Source organism: Homo sapiens, chromosome 15 (assembly GCF_000001405.40).
Source record: "Homo sapiens chromosome 15, GRCh38.p14 Primary Assembly".
NCBI lineage: Eukaryota > Metazoa > Chordata > Mammalia > Primates > Hominidae > Homo > Homo sapiens.
In genome coordinates this window covers 65,498,110-65,519,505 of record NC_000015.10, presented here as the reverse complement: position 1 = coordinate 65,519,505, position 21,396 = coordinate 65,498,110, and the positions used below count along the sequence as shown (strand labels likewise).

Below are 21,396 nucleotides of genomic sequence, written 5' to 3'. Positions count from 1 at the left end.
AGCCGGGCGTGGTGGTGAGTGCCTGTAGTCCCAGCTACTGAGGAGGCTGAGGCAGGAGCATGGCGTGAACCTGGGAGGCGGAGCTTGCAGTGAGTCGAGATGGTGCCACTGCACTTCAGCCTGGGCGACACATTGAGACTCCATCTCAAAAAAAAATAAATAAAAATTAAAAAAAAGAAATCTAGATTCCAATCTAGTCAAATATATAATTAGCTATGTGATATAAGCAAGTATTTTATCTGTCCATGGCTCTTTTTTTAAATGCATGAAATTATATATTTTTAATTGTTTGCTTTTGCGGGGAGGGGGCTCTATCTCTTCTTATTAGGCTATAAACTGCATGAAAACAGGGGCTTTATCTACTTTGTTCACTATTGTGGCCCCGCTGCTTAAAACAGTGACAGGTACAAGGCAGAGATTCAGCAAACACTTGTTGAATTAATGAAGTGCAAGATATTTCTCTGTATTTTGTGTGTGTGTGTGTTTGTGTGTGCATTTAAAGCCTTTAAAATCTGCTCTCAGGTCATTTGGAGAAAATTAATAGAAGAGACCCAAGGAAAATGACTTTGCCTTTTTTTTTTTTTTTTTTTTTAAGGGAGCTCAACTTTAAAAAGCCTGAGGGAAGGCTCATTTAACCTCAGAGTGAATAATTATATACTGTGGAGTGGAGCATAGTACCCAAATGGATTTTTTATTAGTGCTATTATAATAAATCCTAATGACACACGACTCTGACACATTGTTCTTTGTAATAATAGAAAATAGGGGAGGCCCCGCTTTTGCACAGTTTTGTTGTACACCTGCTACTTTCCTGGATATCTTCCTGAGTTCCCTTTTTCTCAGCCAATATACAGTGTAGACCAGGAAAGAAATTGCAGGTCAAGGGACCTGCCTCTGGCTCTGATTATAACAAGTCATTCACTTCTTTCCCCTAGGCCCCAGTTTCTTCATTTTATGTGTTAAAGTGCATACCTTTTTTTTTTTTTTTTTTGAGACAGAGTCTCACTCTGTCACCCAGGCTGGAGTGCAGTGGCGTGATCTCAGCTCACTGCAACTTCTGCCTCCGGGTTCAAGCGATTCTCCTTTCCTCAGCCTCCTGAGTAGTAGCTGGGATTGCAGGCGCCCGCCACCATGCCAAGCTAAGCTTTGAATTTTTTGTAGAGATGGGGTTTCGCCATGTTGGCCAGGCTGGTCTCGAACTCCTGACCTCAAGTGATCCGCCTGCCTCGGCCTCCCAAAGTGTGGTATTACAGGCGTGAGCCTCCACGCCCAGCTGGTTTTCTTTAATTGCAATTAAGTGAAATGTATTATATCCCTTTTAGAGGTAAAGAAATTATGGCTCAAATAGATTGAGTGACCTGCTGAAAGATCGCTAGTTAATATTAGAGCCAAGTTTCGGACTCCAGGTTCAGATTTCTTTCCACCACAAGGAGACGCTTAGATCTCCAAGGCCCTAGTCTCTTTCCTCAATATCATCTCGTTGAAAGGGGAGGGATTTACCCTGGTTTGCTCCCAGCGTCTAAGGCTCTCTCTGCCTGGCACATGGACAGGAATTTTGTCTATTTTGAGCAGGCACTCAATATATATTATTTATTGACTACAGACGCGCCACATTTTGCCCTGTGACTTTCAGCAAGTCGCTGTTCCTTTCTGGAGTTCATCTCTATCCCCTGCTCGGCCCAGTCTCCACCCCGCGCCTCCTTGGCTCCTCCGGCCACTAGACTGCGCTGTGGTGTTGGACCCCACCCAGCAGACAGCGGCGCCCTTCTTGGCCCGGCTGCGCCTTCGCCAGTCGGAAAGCGGATCGCAACGAACCGGAAGTGCTAAAGCCTCCGAGGCCAAGGCCGCTGCTACTGCCGCCGCTGCTTCTTAGTGCCGCGTTCGCCGCCTGGGTTGTCACCGGCGCCGCCGCCGAGGAAGCCACTGCAACCAGGACCGGAGTGGAGGCGGCGCAGCATGAAGCGGCGCAGGCCCGCTCCATAGCGCACGTCGGGACGGTCCGGGCGGGGCCGGGGGGAAGGTGCAGTATCCGCCCCCTTCTCCTTCTCCTGCGCCGGCGAGGCCTGGGCCACGGCTCACCAGGCCCTTTCCGCCTCACGGAGGGACTGCTCGGCGCGTTCTCAGGGTCAGCGCGCTTTGCGGTTTACCCGGCGCGCCGCCCTGCCCAGTGCAGAGCCGGTGGTGCCCTTCCCCCCTCCCCCCCACTTGCCGGAAGAGGAAGCCGAGGCTCTGAGATTCCGAGTCAACCACCGTTCACTGGGCGCCCCTTGAGCTCTGGGCGCTGGCCTCCTGGCTTCCACGTCCGTTATCTTAATTGAGTCTCGCTGGGGTTGGGAGGCCGGGTATTGTCAGCGCTTACAGATGAGGAAACGGAAGCCCACAGAGGCGAAGGGATTTTCCTTAAGTCCGACTTGGCAGATGGGCTTCGGCCTCAGATTTTCTGGTTTTTCAGCTGGTGGTCTTTTTTCTCTCCTGCCTCATGCTAGGTCGATTCCCTCCCTGCTCACTGCCCTCTCCCATTCTGTTCCACCCACTCGCAGCAGGACACTTTCCTTTCCTGCCACACCTGTCTTCTCACACACTTTTCTTCTAAGACTTGGCATTCCTCCCATCTCTCTTCTCAATATTCTCTGCTATGCCTCTCCTCTTGTTCCTCATTCATAGTTTTTCAAGGTCTTTGCCCCCTCTGTGCTATTGAATCTCTCAACTAGGTGTGGACCCTAAAGAATGAGATAGCTAGGCTTCAGTGAGGCTTTAGGTGTTTAAGTGGACGGCTGTTTGGCCCTTGAGTTAAAAATTAAGGAATTTCACTTGAGTGGATCCAAACTCAAGAGTCCTAAAGCTATTTTCTGAGTCAACATGCTCTATTTCTGAGTGAGGGGCTTAGTGCTATGAGGTGTCTTGACATCTTAGTCCATTGTTGCTGTGCTGGCATAACCTCGCTGTTTTTCCTGCACTTGCCACTTAGCTTTTCCCACCCCATCCCTTCATCACCTACTTGGGCTATGGGAGCCCAAAATTAAAACTTATAGAGTAACAGATGTAATAGCAGACCTTCCTTTTTTTTTTTTTCCTAAGCCAGAATTTCAACAAGTTTAATGCTTCTTTTTCCAGAAAAGTTACCTATTTAAATTATTCTCAGAGTAATGCAGCAAGAAAATGGAATGCACTTAAGATGAATAGAAAATTGTTTATCTCGTGAAAAGTCTTAAGTTATTAAATTCAAGTTAATTCCCTTTCTGCAAAAATGGCCTGTAACTCTTACTGGCTATCCTCCTGAGTTAATTCTATCTCCATCCAGCTTGATATGACATTATTATGTAAAAGAGGAACAGGAATAGGCACATAAAAATAAATTTTATTAATCATATGCCGTTTTTGATGATTTGCAATAGTCACTGAGTAACTTCACATCTGTATGCCTTTTGTAACTTTTTAAAGCCTTTCCATGGTTTTCCTTTGTCTGGACACCAAAGTTTGCTATGTTAGGATATTCTTTTGACTATATTGGGCTACACATCTCTGAAATAAAATAATTCTTGAATTCTGATAACATAAAACGCAGATACAAAATAATGTAGGCATTATATATTGCCCCAAAAAGTGATATTTTGGTATCAGTTTTAACTACTATTTTGGGGCTTCTCTTTTTGGCCACATATGGTCCATCTTAATGATCAAAGTCTTATCTTATTTCATTATCCTGGTGAGCAGGCTTTGATGGTGAGGAAAGGAAAGATTCCTGTGAGAAGAGCAGGATGAGCAGAGGGATTCTATGCTTGAAGTCGAGTCACTTGAAAAAGATCTCTTTGAATGTGGAAGAGATCTGAGCAGATGAAAATAAAATCAGGTAGGCACCAGGGAAACTACTTAAGTGACGAGGTAGGTGGGGCAGTGAAATATATGCACTGTGCTGAGAAGGTACACTGACCCTATTTTCCTATTTTTGACATTAGAAAATTCAGGTCACCTATTTTGAGAATGTGTTTGTATATAATCAGGAATTAAGTCATTTACCAAACATCTGCACAGATTACCAATATTATATAATATCAGGTATATTTTAGAAATGCAGGATGGACATTTGCTGTGAACTTACAGAATAGGAGACCATCATTTGGACTGTACAATGTTTGTACATGTACACGCAAGTATGCATGTGTATGCATAGAGTGTCCAGGGCTTAGTACGATTCAGGAATACCAGATAATTTAAATGTAAGCTAATGTACATTTTGCATAAGAAAGATGTGACGTGAATAATAAGAAGCTGGGCATGGCCAGGCGCGGTGACTCACACCTATAATCCCAGCCTGTACAACATAGTGAGACCCCCATCTCTACAAAAAAGTTTTAAAAAATTAGCCAGGCATGGTGATGCATTCCTGTGGTCTTAGCTGCTCAGGAGGCTGAGGCATAAGGATCCTCTGATTCCAGGAGTTCAAGGCTGTACCACTGCACTGCAGCTTGGGCAACAGTGAGACTTGTCTAAAAAAAATAAACTGGACAGTAAGGCTTGGGAGGAGGTCTTTCTGTTGAGCTTCCCTATTCTGTTCCCCAGCCCTATTCTTGCAAGCACTGGTTTGCAGGTGAACTTCCAAACGTAACACAAGAGAAGTTGAGAAAAATGAGCCCAGTTTGTATAGGTTCTTTTCTCATTTGTCCCTCAGTCTGTTAGATATAAAACTGGGTCCGTTGGCCGGGCACGGTGGCTCCCACCTGTAATCCCAGCACTTTGGGAGGCCAAGGCGGGTGGATCATGAGGTCAGGAGTTCAAGACCAGCCTGGCCAAGATGGTGAAACCCCGTCTCTACTAAAAAATACAAAAATTAACTGGGCACGATGGCGGGTGCCTGTAATCCCAACTACTCGGGAAGCTGAGGCAGGAGAATTGCTTGAACCTGGGAGGCAGAGTTTGCAGTGAGCCGAGATCTCGCGCCACTGCACTCTACCCTGGGTGACAGAGCAAGACTCTGCCTCAAAACAAAACAAAAACAGCAACAACAACAAAACTGGTTCCGTTGACATTTGGTAGAAAGTAGGCCTCCACTAGCTAGCTTTTATTAGGGCAAGTAAACAACATATGATAGTATATAACCACCACAGTCTTATACTGTCAGTAAATATCAGTGTGCTGGATACTCCTTGAACTAAATGACTTAATTCCCTGCCAAGCTGTTTTGGATTTTAGTCATTGAAAGTGAATGCTCATTTGTTACAATGATACAAGCATACCTGGTAACTGTCTAATAGGTTTTCTGGCCACTTTGTTACTGTTATATTGAAAATGGTAACATAGGTAACTGTAGCATGAAAAAAGACAAAATAAGCTGCACACACACTTCATTCAGTTCTTTGGCATGCCAGTAACGTGTGCTTAATGGACTAATTCACAATCCATACCTGCTAATAACTTTTAGTCTGTGATAGTTACTATGAATTTATGTTAGCCTTCAAATTTGGGCTTTAAAAAAGATATATTAAATGTACAGCCTTGTATTTATTATTATAGAAGTAGTTAATAATTAAATGCAATTTAGTTTATCTCCCAAGTCCACATGTCTTTGACATTTATTAGTTCAAAAAGAGTAGATTGCCCAGAATTTTTATGTTCCTTCTTTTTGGCAGTGTCATGAATAATATATGTTGGAATACACACTGGTTTGTGATAACACTTTTTGTTATTTGGTACTTCGCTCATGTTAAATGTTGGAAAAGATAAAGGAGAAATGCAACTTCTGGATTTGTGAAATGAGAATAAACATTAGCAGATGAGATATTAACAAACACTATTTAGGGGTTGAACCGGTAAACCCCAGTTTATACTTTTTATCTAAATACTGTTGGTACAAATATTAAATGCTTTCTGTATCAACTACTTCAGCTAATTAAAGCCACTTTAAGATAGTATCTTTTTTTCCTGCCATTTAATCAGTATATGTTGTATGATTGGTAAGAATAGTCATGTAAATTTCCTTAAAATACAGAGTCACCACGCTGGGCGCGGTGGCTCATGCCTGTAATCCCAGCACTTTGGGAGGCCGAGGCGGGTGGATCACAAGGTCAGGAGATCAAGACCATCCTGGCTAACACAGTGAAACCCCATCTCTACTAAAAATACAAAAAATTAGCCGGGCGTTGTGGTGCATGCCTGTAATCCCAGCTACTGGGGAGGCTAAGGCAGAGAATGGCGTGAACCTGGGAGGCGGAGCTTGCAAAGAGCCAAGATTTTGCCACCGCACTCCAGTCTGGGTAACAGAGCGAGACTCCGTCTCAAAAAAAAAAAAATGTAGAGTCACCACAAATGATCATGATAGTGATGTCTAGCAAGAGCAGAAGACTCAGAAATGCATCAGCCAGTTAAGTGTTTTGTTTGGCTTTCCATTTAAAAGGAAACAATATATTATCTTGGGTAAGTACCCTAGGAAGGTTATTACATGCACGTTATTTTTGACAATTTTATTACCGTTCTCATTTGTTGTGGTTATTTCTGTTAGCTGAAAAAAATCCACACTTACCAAATGTGTTACTTTTTAAAATGCAAAACACTTAGCTTCCTTGGCAGAGTTAGCTTCACTATTGACGTGCTCTTGGGTGGAGCATAGCAGCCAACTGGCAAATGGCCTGTTTCCTTCCAGTGTGGGAAAGAAAAGGGAGTTTTGGCAAGAAATACCTAAGGAGAGCCTTTTATAAAAGCTACCAAAGGGATTTATAGGCACTGTGAAGTAGACCTGACCTCAATTTTTTTTTAATTTCATTTTTAAACTGAACACAGAGAAGGGAGAGCTGTTGCTTTTCTTACTAAGTTTCATTGCAGCTGTGCTAAAAAGCATTTTTTTCTTGCCCTCCCCACTCCCCCGCTTTTTTTTTGACCCTCTCAGAGAATCATTCTGATAATAGAAGATAGACCCGTGAACAGCTTCATGTGCCTTGTTTTTCTAGGAAAATGCAACATGGCAGCAGCAATGGAAACAGAACAGCTGGGTGTTGAGATATTTGAAACTGCGGACTGTGAGGAGAATATTGAATCACAGGATCGGCCTAAATTGGAGCCTTTTTATGTTGAGCGGTATTCCTGGAGTCAGCTTAAAAAGCTGCTTGCCGATACCAGAAAATATCATGGCTACATGATGGCTAAGGCACCACATGATTTCATGTTTGTGAAGAGGAATGATCCAGATGGACCTCATTCAGACAGAATCTATTACCTTGGTGAGTACGAAGTTGTAGTTTCTGAGAGAAAATGATCTCTTAAGTCAAACTTAAAGTCTAGGTATAATTGACACTCAAAAGTTTGATGAATAAATTAATCAGTGACTTTTGGTTTCATTAAAGAAAAGCCTATAATTTGAAGAATTCGATTTTGTTGTATCGCATTAACTTTATTTTTACTTGTAGGTAACAAGTCATTAATTGATCATGATCGTTTTTCAAAATCGAAGATGCCAGAAATTGCTTCTTCCTAAAGCTAGCTTGAAATGCCTTTCTTTAGATGGTCTGATTAGGAAAACAAACAATAAAACCATTAGTTTGTTCCCACTCAACAGCTGCTGCTTTTGTTTTTTTAATCCAAGGCTGTTTTTGGTCTCTTCTTCCTGAATCCATTCACTCCAGATTTAATGTCTGCCTATGTTAAATATGTTAATCTACTGATTTACTTTCTTGTTTGTTAAATTTTTAAAGGTAGGTTCCTTCCCCTCCTCCAAAATATTTCCAATATAAATTTTATTCGTTTATGTGAATGTGTGTGTATATGTGTTTATTTATTTGTGTGTGTGTGTGGTGTGTGTATGTATGTGTGTATGGAGATATTAAAGATGTCTGCATGAGTTCATGTCATAATTATAGTTTTTTTTTTTTTTTTTTTGAGACAGGGTCTCACTCTGTCACCCAGGTTGGAGTGCAGTGGCACACTAATGGCTCACTGCAGCCTTGACCTCCCAGGCTCAAACAGTCCTCCCAAGCTGGGACTACAGGTGCACGCCACCACAGCCAGCTAATGTTTTGTTGTTTTGTTTTTTTTTTAATAGAGATGGAGTTTTGCCATGTTGCTCAAGCTGCGATTCATTTTTTTTTTAAAAACTTCGTAACATTCCATTATATAATTGTGCCATATTTTACTTAACCAGACCTCTAATAATGGTCACACGCTGCCACAACCAGCTAATGTTTTGAATTTTTTTGTAGAGATGGAGTTTTGCCATGTTGCTCAGGCTAGGATTCTTTCTTTTTTAACAACTCAGAATATTCCATTATATAATTGTGCCATATTTTACTTAACCAGACCTCCAGTAATGGCATTTAGGTTTTTCTAATCTGTTGTTACAAAAGATGAGGAAGTGAATATCACTGTATTAGATCATTTTGCACATGTATGAATATATCTGTAGAACTAATTCCTAAGAGTGGAAGTACTGGGAAAAAGGGTATATATATTTTGAATTTTGATTGATATTACTGAACTCCCCTTTCAAAGAGGTTATAGAGTGTATACTACCATGACATTATCTCCGATTATCTATTTCTCCATGCATACACCAGTAGTGAGTAATTAAACTTTTTGATCTTTCCCAGTCAGATTAGCGAACAGCAGTTTCTCATTGTTTTTATTTTATTTCTCTTATGAGTGAGGTTGAGCATCATTTCACATGCTTAAAAAGCCGTTTGTGGCTGGGCGCAGTGGCACACACCTGTATTCCCAGCACTTTGGGAGGCTATGGCTGGCGGATCACTTGAGGTCAGGAGTTTGAGACCAGCCTCACCAACATGGTGAAACCGCGTCTCTACTAAAAATGCAAAAATTAGTCAGGCGTGGTAGTACACACTTGTAATCCCAGCTACTTGGGAGGCTGAGGCAGGAGAATTGCTTGATCCTGGGAGGTGGAGGTTGCAGTGAGCTGAGATGGTGCCACTGCACTCCAGCCTGGATGACAGAGCGAGACTTCGTCTCAAGTAAAGAAAAAAAAAAGCCATTTGTATTTCTCTTCTGTACATTCACAGTCTATAATCTTTGGTTTTTTAATTGGTTTGGGTTTCTTTTTTATTTTTTAAAGTTCTTTTTCCACCCAACCCCTGAAGAGGGTTTCTTTTTCTTAATGATTTGAAGCCTTTTATATAGTAAGTGAATTAATCCTTTGTGGGATTGTCCCAAGTTTGCTTATTTTTTAAATTAATTATTAATTATTATTATTTTTTGAGACGGGGTCTCAGTCTTCTAGGCTGGAGTACAGTGGCATGATCTTGGTTCACTGCATCCTTGACCTCCCAGGCTGAAGTGATCCTCCCGCCTCAATCCCCCAAGTGGCTGGGCCTACAGGCGTGTGCCACCATGCCCAGCTAATTTGTGTATTTTTTTTTGTAGAGACGGGTTTCGCCATGTTGTCCAGGCTGATCTGGAACTCCTGAGCTCCAGCAATCTGCCTGCCTCAGCTAGGATTACAGGCGTGAGCCACTGCACCTGGCCTTTTTTGTTTTTTGTTTTTTTTGAGATGGCGGTCTCACTCTGTTGCCCAGGCTGGAGTGCAGTGGTGTGATCCTGGCTAACTGCAACCTCCACCTCCCAGGCTTAAGCCATCCTCCCATCTCAGCCTCCCAAGTAGCTGGGACTATAGGCACATACCACTATGCCCAGCTAATTTTTGTATTTTTGGTAGAGATTGGGTTTCACCATGTTGCTCAGGCTCATCTCAAACTCCTGAGCTCAAGCTGTCTACCCACCTCAGCCTCCCAGAGTGCTGGAATTGCAGATGTGAGCCACTACACCTGGCCAGAAATCTTTTCTTTTATAAGAAATCATACATTTTTGAGAGCCCTTATTCCAAACGTGGTATGCTTAGAAGAAGCTCTATTATTTAGTAACAAGCATTTCGTTACATTAGCATTTTACTTCATCACATGCTTAATTTTGCCTCTTGTTCTTTGTCATGCTATCCTAAAGAGAAACAAGACTCATTGATACTGTTGCCTGAAGACATGGGCCCAAAATGACTGCTGTAGCTCTAAAGACCAATAAATACCATTAGGAAAGAATGAGAAAAGCCCATTTGTGCTTATGTCAGAACATAGAATGTGCTGGGGAAATTTTTACTGGTCATGGATAAAGCCAAGGCAGACATTATGGAACTAGGAGCATATAGGGAGGGGCAACTGAAATGATTGTGGGGGAATGGCTGTTACTGAGGAGAGAAGAAAACCAGTTTTGTCTTTTTGTTTTAATATTTGAAGACTGAAGGCTCTTAGAAGGATCACATTTTGTAAAATTGTGAATGGTATTGATAGGTGACCACAGTCTTAAGAATTCTATAGCAAAGCAACTTGGGAATCTACAAAGTAGATTTTACACAAAATTGAGTGCTGAAGTAAATGTCAGCTGATATATAACTTTTTACTCCAAAGGCAACATAAACTAATTAGAAAAATAAGAGGATAAAAAAAGATATGGTTATTTGGGGGCTTATCCTCAACATTTGCAAGGGTTAGCATGGGAGTTATCATAAATACCTTTCCCGAGGCTACCTTCTGCTGGCATTAATAATTCAGAAACATAGGTTGAGGATCTCTTTCACCCAGGAGATTTCTTGTTATTTTTGTGTGATTTATGTTTTCCTTCCTTCACTCCTCCAGCTTTTTGGAAGCAATACCCCTTTTTTTTTTTGAGATGGAGTTTTGCCCCTGTTGCCCAGGCTGGAGTGCAGTGGCGTGATCTCGGTTTATTGCAACCTCTGCCTCCCGGGTTCAAGTGATTCTCCTGCCTCAGCCTCCCGAGTAGCTGGGATTACAGGCATGTGCCACCACGCCTGGCTAATTTTGTATTTTTAGTAGAGGCAGGGTTTCTCCATGTTGGTCAGGCTGGTCTCGAGCTCCTGACCTCAGGTAATCCGCCCACCTCAGCCTCCCAAAGTGCTGGGATTACAGGTGTGAGCCACCTCGGCCGGCCAGTAATACCTTTTTAGAATAGAAAGGCTTTGTTTTACCTTATGTTTTCTTTGGTTCATATCTTCATAACCATAGTGTGTTTCTGTCAATCTTTTATATGTAACTCACTCTACACTGCTGTGACCTTCCCATCCAGTTATCACATGATTTTGCAGAAGAGATTTGGCTTCTACTTAATTTAGACCTTTTTCCTTTGCCCTTCCCCAATAAAGGACAAAGAGATTTTCAGCAGATCAGTTGCCAGATTCTGTATTGTTTTAATATTAGTATAGTTTTATTGGAAACCCTAAAGGTCTTATTAATGATTATAGTTACAGAACTTTTTTTTTTTTGAGACGGAGTCTTGCTCTGTTGCCCAGGCCAGAGTGCAGTGGTGTGATCTCGGCTCACTGCAATCTCCGTCTCCTGGGTTCAAGCAATTCTCCTGCCTCAGCCACCCAAATAGCTGGGATTACAGGCACGTGCCACCACGCCCAGCTAATTTTTTTGTATTTTTAGTACAGACAAGGTTTCATCATGTTGGCCAGGCTGGTATCAAACTCCTGATCTCAAATGATCTGCCTGCCTCGGGCTCCCAAAGTGCTGGGACTACAAGCATGAGCCACCACGCCCAGCCTACAGAACTTTTATAATGAATAAAAACTAGAATTCAGTTAGATCTATGTGTTTCCAATTAAGCACTTTAAATGTTTCAGAAACAGTAATCTGAAGTTGTTATATTGGAATCTCATGAGCCTGTTGCCAACTTGTAAAGGACTCACAATTTTCAAAAAATTCTGAAAATGGTACTTTTCTCTACACAGCAACTTACATACTTTTATATTTATTTTGAGAGGGACTAAGATCTGAATACCAAAATGAAACCTGAGCATTTTTCTTTAAAGCCTCAGATTTCTTTTTTTTTTTTTTTTTTTTAAGTTGGGATCTTGCTATGTTACCCAGGCTGGTCTTGAATTCCTAGGTTCAAGTGATCCTCCCACTGTAGCCTCCCAAGTAGCTGGGATTATAGGCATGTGTACTGTGCCAGGCTAGCCTTGGTTTTATTGAAAATTTTTATGGCATATGGCATAAGCACATTCTACTTGTTAACATTCATTATATATCCCATAGAGTGCAAAATATTGCAGTGTATAGAAGGCATTATGTACTTGCAACTGTGACTGTAGTAAGAATGCTATTCGAAAAAATAATAATAAATGATTGCTTTCTCCTATAGCCATGTCTGGTGAGAACAGAGAAAATACACTGTTTTATTCTGAAATTCCCAAAACTATCAATAGAGCAGCAGTCTTAATGCTCTCTTGGAAGCCTCTTTTGGATCTTTTTCAGGTAGGATTAAATGTTGTTATTCCTATGATTTGGTGTATGTATTCAGATACTGCATTTATTTAGAGGTTGGGATTTTATATTTGAAGTAGATGTAAATAAAAAAAATTAAGATGTTTTTATGTTTTTGCATGTATGACCCTGAAATTCCATTTAATTCTTGATATCTGAAACTGAGATAATAAAATTCAATTTTTTAAACTGCTTTCTCCCTGTTTAACTGCATTTCCCTTCATAAACTTTGTACTTACGTAGTTCTCACATTTTTTAAAGGAGTTGTTCACAGAAAAGAACTGATAAATATTTCCAGAAAGGCTTATTTATATATTTTAATTGATTTTGTATTTCTAAAGCTCAGTAACAGCACTAAAATAAAGGTACAAAGTTCAGTTTTACCTTCTGAATAGTATAATTCCATTTATGTAAAATCAAAGGTTGGGGTTTTATTTCCCCCAATATTTTATCTTTATTTTTTCTTATTAAAAACTATTTAACATATATATATAATAGTTTTTAAACATATATATGTTTATATATGTATAATATATAAACAGATTCCAGGATTTCAGTGCACATATGTTTATATGTTTATATATTTTATATATGTTATGTATATGTTTATATGTATATATGTTTACATATATATATGTTTAATAAGATGGGGTCTTGCTATGTTGTCCGGGTTGGTCTCAAACTCTCAAACTTCTGGGTTCAAGCAATCTGCCTGCCTCGGCTTCCCACAGTGCTGAGATTACAGGCGTGAGCCACCTCACCTGGCCGATTTTATCTTTAGATAAGAAAGTAAATTGTTGAAAATATCCCAAAGATAATGTTTCGGTACAATCGTTTGCTTCTTTGGTTCTCATTATTATTTTTACAGTGAGTATTTATTTATTTATTATTATCATTTTTTTTTGAGACGGAGTTTTGCACTTCTTGCCCAGGCTGGAGTTCAATGGCGCAGTCTTGGCTCACTACAACCTCCGCCTCCCGGGTTCAAGCGATTCTCCTACCTCAGACTCCCAAGTAGCTGGGATTACAGGCATGCGCCACCACGCCCAGCTAATTTTGTATTTTTAGTAGAGCCACAGTTTCACCGTGTTAGCTAGGATGGTCTCGATCTCCTGACCTCGTGATCTGCCTGCCTCGGCCTCCCAAAGTGCTGGGATTACAGGTGTGAGCCACCGCACCGGCCTTGGCCGAGTATTTCTTAATTGAATAACATGAATGTGCTGTTTCTCATAGAAATTAAAAAAAAAAAACTTTTATAACAACTAATCTTTTTTTTTTTTTTTTGAGACACAGTCTTGCTCTGCAACCCAGGCTGGAGCGCAGTGGCGCAATCTTGGCTCACTGTAACTTCTGCCTCCCAGATTCAAGCGATTCTCCTGCCTCAGCCTCCCAAGTAGCTGGGATTACAGGTGCACACCACCATGCCTGGCTAATTTTTGTATTTTCAGTAGAGACGGGGTTTCATCATGTCACCCAGGCTGGTCTCGAACTCTTGGCCTCAAGTGATCCACCGCCTCAGCTTCCCAACGTGCTGGGATTACAGGTGTGAGCCACTGCACCTGGCCACAACTAATCATTTTCACTCCAACTATTTGTCATGAACATTGCCCTTTACATAGGCATGTGACTTTTCTTTAAAACAAAAAATTTCTTATTCTGAGACCAGTGTCTTTAACTGAAATAACGATAATTTTCTCAGAAAAATTGGCAAAACTGTTTTAAACTTTTATAATGGAAATTTTTAAAGCATACAAAAGTGGAATAACGTGAAATATTTTCAACAAGGATTAAATCTTAGGCATCAGTGTTGATTGTAGCCCTACTAACTTCCCCTCACAACCCCCCACAGCCTACTGCTCAGACTATTTTTTTTTTTTTTGAGACAGAGTCTCACTCTATCGCCCAGGCTGGAGTGTAGTGGTGCCATCTCAGCTCACTGCAAGCTCCTCCTCCCGGGTTCACACCATTCTCCTGCCTCAGCCTACCTAGTAGCTGGGACTACAGGCTCCCACCACCATGCCCAGCTAATTTTTTGCATTTTTAGTACGGACGGGGTTTCACTGTGTTAGGCAGGATAGTCTCAATCTCCTGACCTCGTGATCCGCCTGCCTCGGCCTCCCAAAGTGCTGGGATTACAGGTGTGAGCCACCGCGCCCGGCCCTGCTCAGACAGTTTTAAAGAAGATACCAGATATGTCATTCCTGAAATATATCAGTATGTATCTCTAAAGTATACAAATTCTTTTTTTAATTGAGACAGCATCTCACTCTGTCACCCAAGTTGGAATACAGTGGTGTGTGATCACAGCTCACTGCAGCTTTAACTTCCTGAGCTCAGGCAATCCTGCCTCAGCCTCCTGAGTAGCTGGGACTACAGGCATATGGCACCATTGCCAGCTAATCTTTTAAATGTTTTGTAGAGACAGGGTCTCACTGTGCTGCCCAGGGTGGTCTCAAACTCCTGAGCTCAAGCGATCCTCCCACCTTGACCTTCCAAAGTGCTAGGATAATAGGTGTGAGCCACCCCACCCAGCATGTTCTACCACAGTTTTTTTTTTTTTTTTTTTGAGACGGAATCTTGCTCTGTCGCCAGGCTGGAGTGCAGTGGCGCGTTCTCAGCTCACTGCAACCTCCGCCTCCCAGGTTCAAGCGATTCTCCTGCCTCAGCCTCCCAAGTAGCTGGGACTATAGCGTGCGCCACCAGGCCTAGCTAATTTTTGTATTTTTAGTAGAGACAGGGTTTCACCATGTTGGCCAGGATGGTCTCAATCTCTTGACCTTGTAATCTGCCTACCTCAGCCTCCCAATGTGCTGGAATTACAAGCGTGAGCCGCTGCACCCGGCCCTACCACAATTTTTTTTTTTTTTTTTGAGATGGAGTTTCACTCTTGTTGCCCAGGCTGGAGTGCAATGGCACGATCTCAGCTCACCGCAACCTCTGCCTCCTGGGTTCAAGGGATTCTCCTGCCTCAGCCTCCCAAGTAGCTGGAATTACAGGCATGCGCCACCACACCCGGATGATTTTGTATTTTTTATTAGAGAAGGGGTTTCTCCATGTTGGTCAGGCTGGTCTTGAACTTCCGACCTCAGGTGATCCTCCCACCTCAGCCTCCCTGAGTGCTGGGATTACAGGCGTGAGCCACTGCACCCGGCCCGCAATTTTTTTTAAAAAGGGCCAGGCACAGTAGCTGATGCCTGTAATCACAGCACTTTGGGAAGCCAAGGAGGGTGGATCACTTGAGGCCAGGAGTTCGAGACCAGCCTGACCAACATGGTGAAACCTCATCTCTACTAAAAAAAATACAGAAAAGGCCAGGTGCGGTCGCTTATGCCTGTAATCTCAGCACTTTGGGAGGCTGAGGCGGGTGGATCACTTGAAGTCAGGAGTTCAAGACCACTCTGGCCAACATGGTGAAACCCCATCTCTACTAAAAATATAAAAAAATAAGCCAGGCATGATGGCAGGTGCCTGTAATCCTAGCTACTCGGGAGGCTGAGGTGGGAGAATCGATTGAACCCGGGAGGCAGAGGTTGCAGTGAGCTTAAATCGTGCCACTGCACTCTACCCTGAGTGACAGAGCAAGACTTCATCTCAAAAAATAATAATAAATAAATAAAAATTAGTCAGGTAGGGCGGTGGGGGTGCAGCGCCTGTAATCCCAGCTACTTGTGAGGCTGAGGCAGGAGAATCGCATGAGCCAGGGAGGCAGAGGTTGCAGTGAGCTGAGATGGCACCTCTGCACTCCAGCTAGGGTGACCAAGGGAGACTCTGTCTCAAAAAAAAAAAGAAAAGAAAGAAAAAAGTAATCAACAATAAAGAAATACTTCAGGCTGGGCATGGTGGCTCACGCCTGTAATCCCAGCACTTTGGGAGGCTGAGGCTGGTGGATCACCTGAGATCAGGAGTTTGAGACCAGCCTCATCAACATGGAGAAACCCCGTCTCTACTAAAAATACAAAATTAGCCGAGCATGGTTGTGCATGCATATAATCCCAGATACTTGGAGGCTGAGACAGGAGAATCTCTTGAACCCGGGAGGCAGAGGTTGCGGTGAGCCGAGATCGCGCCATTGCACTACAGCCTGGGCAGCAGAGCAAGGCTCCATCTCAAAAAAAATAATAATAATAATTAATGGTGTTTCAAGATTGTTTTGGGTATTCTGTGTCTCTTGCAATTCTGTATGAATATTACTAGGGTCAGCTTGTCTATATCTGGAAAAAAGGCATTTGGAATTTTGATACGCATTTACTCTGTCTTCCAATCCATGCATACGTGATGTCTTTCTATTTATTTAGATCTTTACTTTCTTTGAACAGTGTTTTACAGTTTCCCATATACACGTCTTGCTCTTCTTTGGTTAAATTTACTACTAAGTATTTTTGTTTTCTTTTTTTATTTTAATGTCAGTCAAATGTAGCAGTTAGGGGTTGTATACCAACTTTAGTGACACTAATGTTAATAAGTTCCGATAACCCACTACTATTGGGTCAGCCTATTTTTTAAATAACATTTTAAGTAGAATTTTATTTTATTTTATCTTATTATTTTTTTTTTTTGAGACACTTTCTTGCTCTGTTGCCCAGGCTGGAATGCAGTGGCGTGATCTTGGCTCACTGCAACCTCCGCCTCCCAGGTTCAAGTGATTCTCCTGCCTCAGCCTTCTGAGTAGCCGGGACTACAGATGCGCACCAGCATGCTCGGCTAATTTTTGTATTTTTAGTAGAGGCGAGGTTTCACTGTGTTGGCCAGGCTGGATTTGAACTCCTGACCACGGGTGATCCACCTGCCTTGACCTCCTAAAGTACTGGGATTACAGGCATGAGCCACCACGCCCAGCCACAAACTTTCTTTGAGAGACATTATAACAAATATGTTTTAAGTAGGAAAAGAAAATCACAGAGATTCTGCTCTGAAGTTTTTTTTTTTTTTCCATTTAGCAAATATCCTGAAAAAGTGAAAAACAATACCATAGTTAAATAAGTAACAGACAGTAACTCCTATAAATAATTTAGGACATAAATGAAAGAAATCACTTCTTTCATGAGGGCCAGGCTTGGTGGCTCACACCTGTAATCCCAATGCTGGGAGGCGGAGGTGGGCAGATCACTTGAGGCCAGGAGTTTGAGACCAGCCTGGCCAACATGGCGAAACTCCATTTCTACTAAAAATGCAAAATATTAGCTGGGCGTGGTGGCACAAGTGTGTAATCCCACCTACTCAGGAGGCTGAGGCATGAGAATCACCTGAATCCAGGAGGCAGAGGTTGTAGTGAGCTGAGATCACGCCACGGCACTCCAGCCTGGGCAACAGAGTGAGAGTTTTGTCTCAAAGAAAGAAAGAAAGAAATCACTGTGAAATAGTGAATTGGAAAACTTTGCTAGCTGAGAATTCAAGCAAGGTTTTGGGGTATAAGTAAACTGGGATAGGTAGAAAGAAAAACATTCTTCCAAGAGTCCAGGGAAGAGGGGTAGAACAGACAAAGACCAGGAGACAGAAAACCACTCATTGAGTTTTATTCAGATCAGTGATGTGACCAGCTTGACCTCTAAGGTTTTATTAAGAGGAGTATTGCTAGTGTAGTGGAAAGGTTTTAATAACAGCTGACAAATTTGAGAGCTTACTCTGTGTCAGTCATTGTGCTAAACATTGTACATATTTTATCTAAATTAATCTTCACAAAGCTGATATAGATGATTTATTACTATTTTGAAAATGAAGAAAATTACTTTTGAATAAATTAAGCTACTTTCTCAAGGTTAGACTTCTAGTGAAGGGTCAAAGCTTGGATTCAAACCACTTGACTTAGAAGTCTGTGCTCTTAATTGCATGCTGGCTACTAAATTATAGTTAAGTTGTAGAAAGTCTTGAATGCTAACATGATTGGACTTTATTCTTGTTCTCTAATGTATACAGTAATCATCTAAAGACTCTTTACTAGGAAATCTTTCAGCAGACTTCCTAAAATTAATCTGCTTAAAGTTGCCAGCAAATTTTGGGGTCACTTAACCTGCAGACTGTGCTCAGTGAATTAGAAGGCTGAAAAAAAAAATGTAGAGTCGCCAGGCGCGGTGTCTCACGCCTGTAATCCCAGCACTTTGGGAGGCCGAGGCAGGCGGATCACGAGGTCAGGAGATGGAGACCATCCTGGCTAACACGGTGAAACCCCGTCTCTACTAAAAACACAAAAAATTAGCTGGGCGTGGTTGCGGGCGCCTGTAGTCCCAGCTACTAGGAAGGCTGAGGCAGGAGAATGGTGTGAACCCGGGAGGCAGAGCTTGCAGTGAGCCAAGATCGCTCCACTGCACTCCAGCCTGGGTGACAGAGTGAAACTCTGTCTCAAAAAAAAAAAAAAAAAAAAAAGAGTCAATAATGTTGGAGATTCTAGGATTTCAGTGCTAAAAGCAAAAGATGGTTTTTCAGAAGACTGGAATAGGTGACTTTCCTTTCACATTAGGCAACACTGGACTATGGAATGTATTCTCGAGAAGAAGAACTATTAAGAGAAAGAAAACGCATTGGAACAGTCGGAATTGCTTCTTACGATTATCACCAAGGAAGTGGAACATTTCTGTTTCAAGCCGGTAGTGGAATTTATCACGTAAAAGATGGAGGGCCACAAGGATTTACGGTAAGTTGGAGTTGCTAGTGATTAAATCTGGTTTGGGTCCAAAAGGTTATTTGTACCCAAAGCAGAAAGGTAATTAATAAACAAACCAGCAACTTCAGTTTACCCACCAACAAAGAAATTTAATAGCAATGAAAACAAGAAACATGGAGATTGGTTTCCAATTTTAAGAGCGATTTTTTTTTTTTTTGAGACAGAATTTCACTGTTGTTGCCCAGGCTGGAGTGCAATGGTGCCGTCTTGGCTCACCGCAACCTCTGCCTCCTGGGTTCAAGTGATTCTCCTGCCTCAGCCTCCCAAGTAGCTGGGACTACAGGCATGCGCCACCACCCCTGGCTAATTTTGTATTTTTAGTAGCGATGGGGTATCTCCATGTTGGTCAGGCTGGTCTTGAACTCCTGACCTCAGGTTATCTGCCCATCTCGGCCTCCCAAAGTGCTAGGATTACAGACATGAGCCACCGCGCCCAGCCTTAGGAGATAATTTTTTTACCAGCTCAGGCAACAGAGAGAGACCCTGTCTCTACAAAAAAAAATTTAAAAAAACTTAGCTGGGCATGGTGGTGCACACCTTTAATCCCAGATACTCAGGAGTCTGAGGTGGGAGGATCACTTGAACCTGGAGGTCAAGCTGCAGTGAACTGTGATTGTGCCACTGCAGTCCAGCCTAGATGACAGACCAAAACCTTATCTCAAAACAAAAGAGTTAATAATCTTTCTAGTTACATTAAGATACCATTTTTAGGTCAGACGTGGTGGCTCACACCCATAATTCCAGCACTTTGGGAGGCCCATGTGGGCAGATCATTTGAGCCTAGGAGTTCCAGACCAGCGTGGGGAAACATGGCGAAACCCCATCTCTACAAAAAATGCAAAAATTAGCCAGGCAAGGTAGCATGCGCCTGTAGTCCCAGCTACTCAGGAAGCTGAGGTGGGAGGATCATTTGAGCCTGGGAGGCGGAGGTTGTAGTGCACCGAGATTGTGCTGCTGCACTTTAGCGTGGATGACAGAGCAAGTCCCTGTCTTAAAAAAAAACATACAAATTTTAAAGTGGTAAAAATACTTGCTGTATAGAAAGATAGAGTAGGCCATGCATGGTGGCTCACACCTGTAATCCCAGCACTTTGGGAGGCTGAGGCGGGCAGATCACTTGAGATCAGGAGTTTGAGATCAGTCTGGCCAACATGGTGAAACCCTGTCTCTACTAAAAACACAAAAATTAGGCAGGCGCACCTGTAGTCCTAGCTACTCGGGAGGCTGAAGCACGAGAATTGCTTGAATCTGGGAGTTGGATGGAGGTTGCAGTGAGCTGAGATCGCTCTACTGTCCTCCACCCTGGGCGACAGAGTGAGACTAAGAGAGAGAGAAAAAAAAAAAGGAAAGGTAACGGGCATCAATTCCCACTTCCTGTGTAAGCACTGAGGGAGGTTTTGGAAGATCATTATCAAAAGACAATTTTTTGTTTCCCTTGAAAGCTAATTCATCTTAATAAATTTATATATACACACACACACACACACACACACACACACACACACTTTTTTTTTGGGGGGGAGACAAAGTCTTGCTGTCATCCAGGCTGGAGTGCAGTGGCAAGATCATGGCTCACTGCAGCCTCAAACTCCTGGGCTCAAGCAATCCTCCCACCTCAGCCTCCTGAGTAGCTGGGACTACAGATATGTGCCACCACACCCAATTACTAATTTAAAAAATTTTTTTTAGAGGTGAGGGTCCCACTAGATTGCCCCAGCTTGTCTTGGACTTTAGGCTCAAGTGATCCTCTTGCCTTAGCCTCTCAAGTGGCTTATGTTTGGTTTTATCCTAGGCAATTGATTATGAGCTTTAGGAACTCTTCTTTTGAGAATTGTGATGATCCTGGCTTCTATTACATTTTTATGAGCAAACTATTTTATATTGGTAAAAATAATTTTAAAATATTTAATAAAATATTGAGTGAATAAGTGTTTAATAACAATGTTTAATGAACAGTAATTACTCTCTTAAACAGGTTGGGCAACAAAATTTATGAAGTAGTGTTTTATTGTCTTTATGTCCTTTATGTCCTCTCCTGTTACCCTTAGCTTTTTCATTTGAAGTTAAAAAAAATTCCTTTCTGGTAAGTTAAGGCAATAGAAAGTATATTTTTCTGGGAAGCAATTATCATTGTTGACTTTTTTTTTTTTTCCTGATACTGAGTCTCACTTTGTCACCCAGGTTGGAGTGCAGTGGCACGATCTTGGCTCACTGCAACATCCACCTCCCAGGTTCAAGCAATTCTCCTGCCTCAGCCTCCCAAGTAGTTGGGACTACAGGTGCCCACCACTATGCCCAGCTAATTTTTGTATTTTTGGTAGAGATGGGGTTTCACTATGTTGGTCAGGCTGGTCTCGAACTCCTGACTTCAGGTGATCTGCCTGCCTTGGCCTCCCGAAGTGCTGGGATTACAGGCGTAAGTCACCACGCCCGGCCTCATTGTTGACATTTTACCTAGAAATATTG

The 21,396-nt window shown here is 42.2% G+C and overlaps 1 protein-coding gene across 30 annotated transcripts in view, besides 2 other annotated features; it reads left to right on the top strand.

The window, feature by feature from the left end:
- Positions 1,793-1,872: an enhancer, noted in NCBI's record as "active region_9601". NCBI's record gives its function as "activates an Ori minimal core promoter by ATAC-STARR-seq in GM12878 lymphoblastoid cells {active_cell/tissue: GM12878}" and the evidence as "EXISTENCE:reporter gene assay evidence [ECO:0000049][PMID:35858748]".
- DPP8 (dipeptidyl peptidase 8) overlaps positions 1,817-21,396 on the top strand; it is a 75,223-nt gene continuing 55,643 nt past the window's right edge. For 9 of the 30 annotated variants that reach the window (XR_007064468.1, XR_007064466.1, XM_011521730.3 and 6 more), the window contains exons 1-4: positions 1,817-3,850; positions 6,942-7,211; positions 12,151-12,263; positions 18,727-18,900. Coding sequence is in view for 25 of the 30 variants with exons in the window: in XM_011521730.3 (XP_011520032.1) it covers positions 3,814-3,850; positions 6,942-7,211; positions 12,151-12,263; positions 18,727-18,900 (594 nt within the window). In the remaining 5 variants the exon portion in view is untranslated. The remainder of the gene's footprint in view (positions 3,851-6,941; positions 7,212-12,150; positions 12,264-18,726; positions 18,901-21,396) is intronic. The other 21 variants (XR_007064467.1, NM_001438667.1, NM_001438671.1 and 18 more) reach the window with 8 other exon arrangements.
- Positions 2,017-2,570: an enhancer, noted in NCBI's record as "NANOG-H3K27ac-H3K4me1 hESC enhancer chr15:65809274-65809827 (GRCh37/hg19 assembly coordinates)". NCBI's record gives its function as "activates a minimal SCP1, AML or CMV promoter by ChIP-STARR-seq in naive H9 embryonic stem cells {active_cell/tissue: H9 hESC(naive)}" and the evidence as "EXISTENCE:reporter gene assay evidence [ECO:0000049][PMID:30033119]".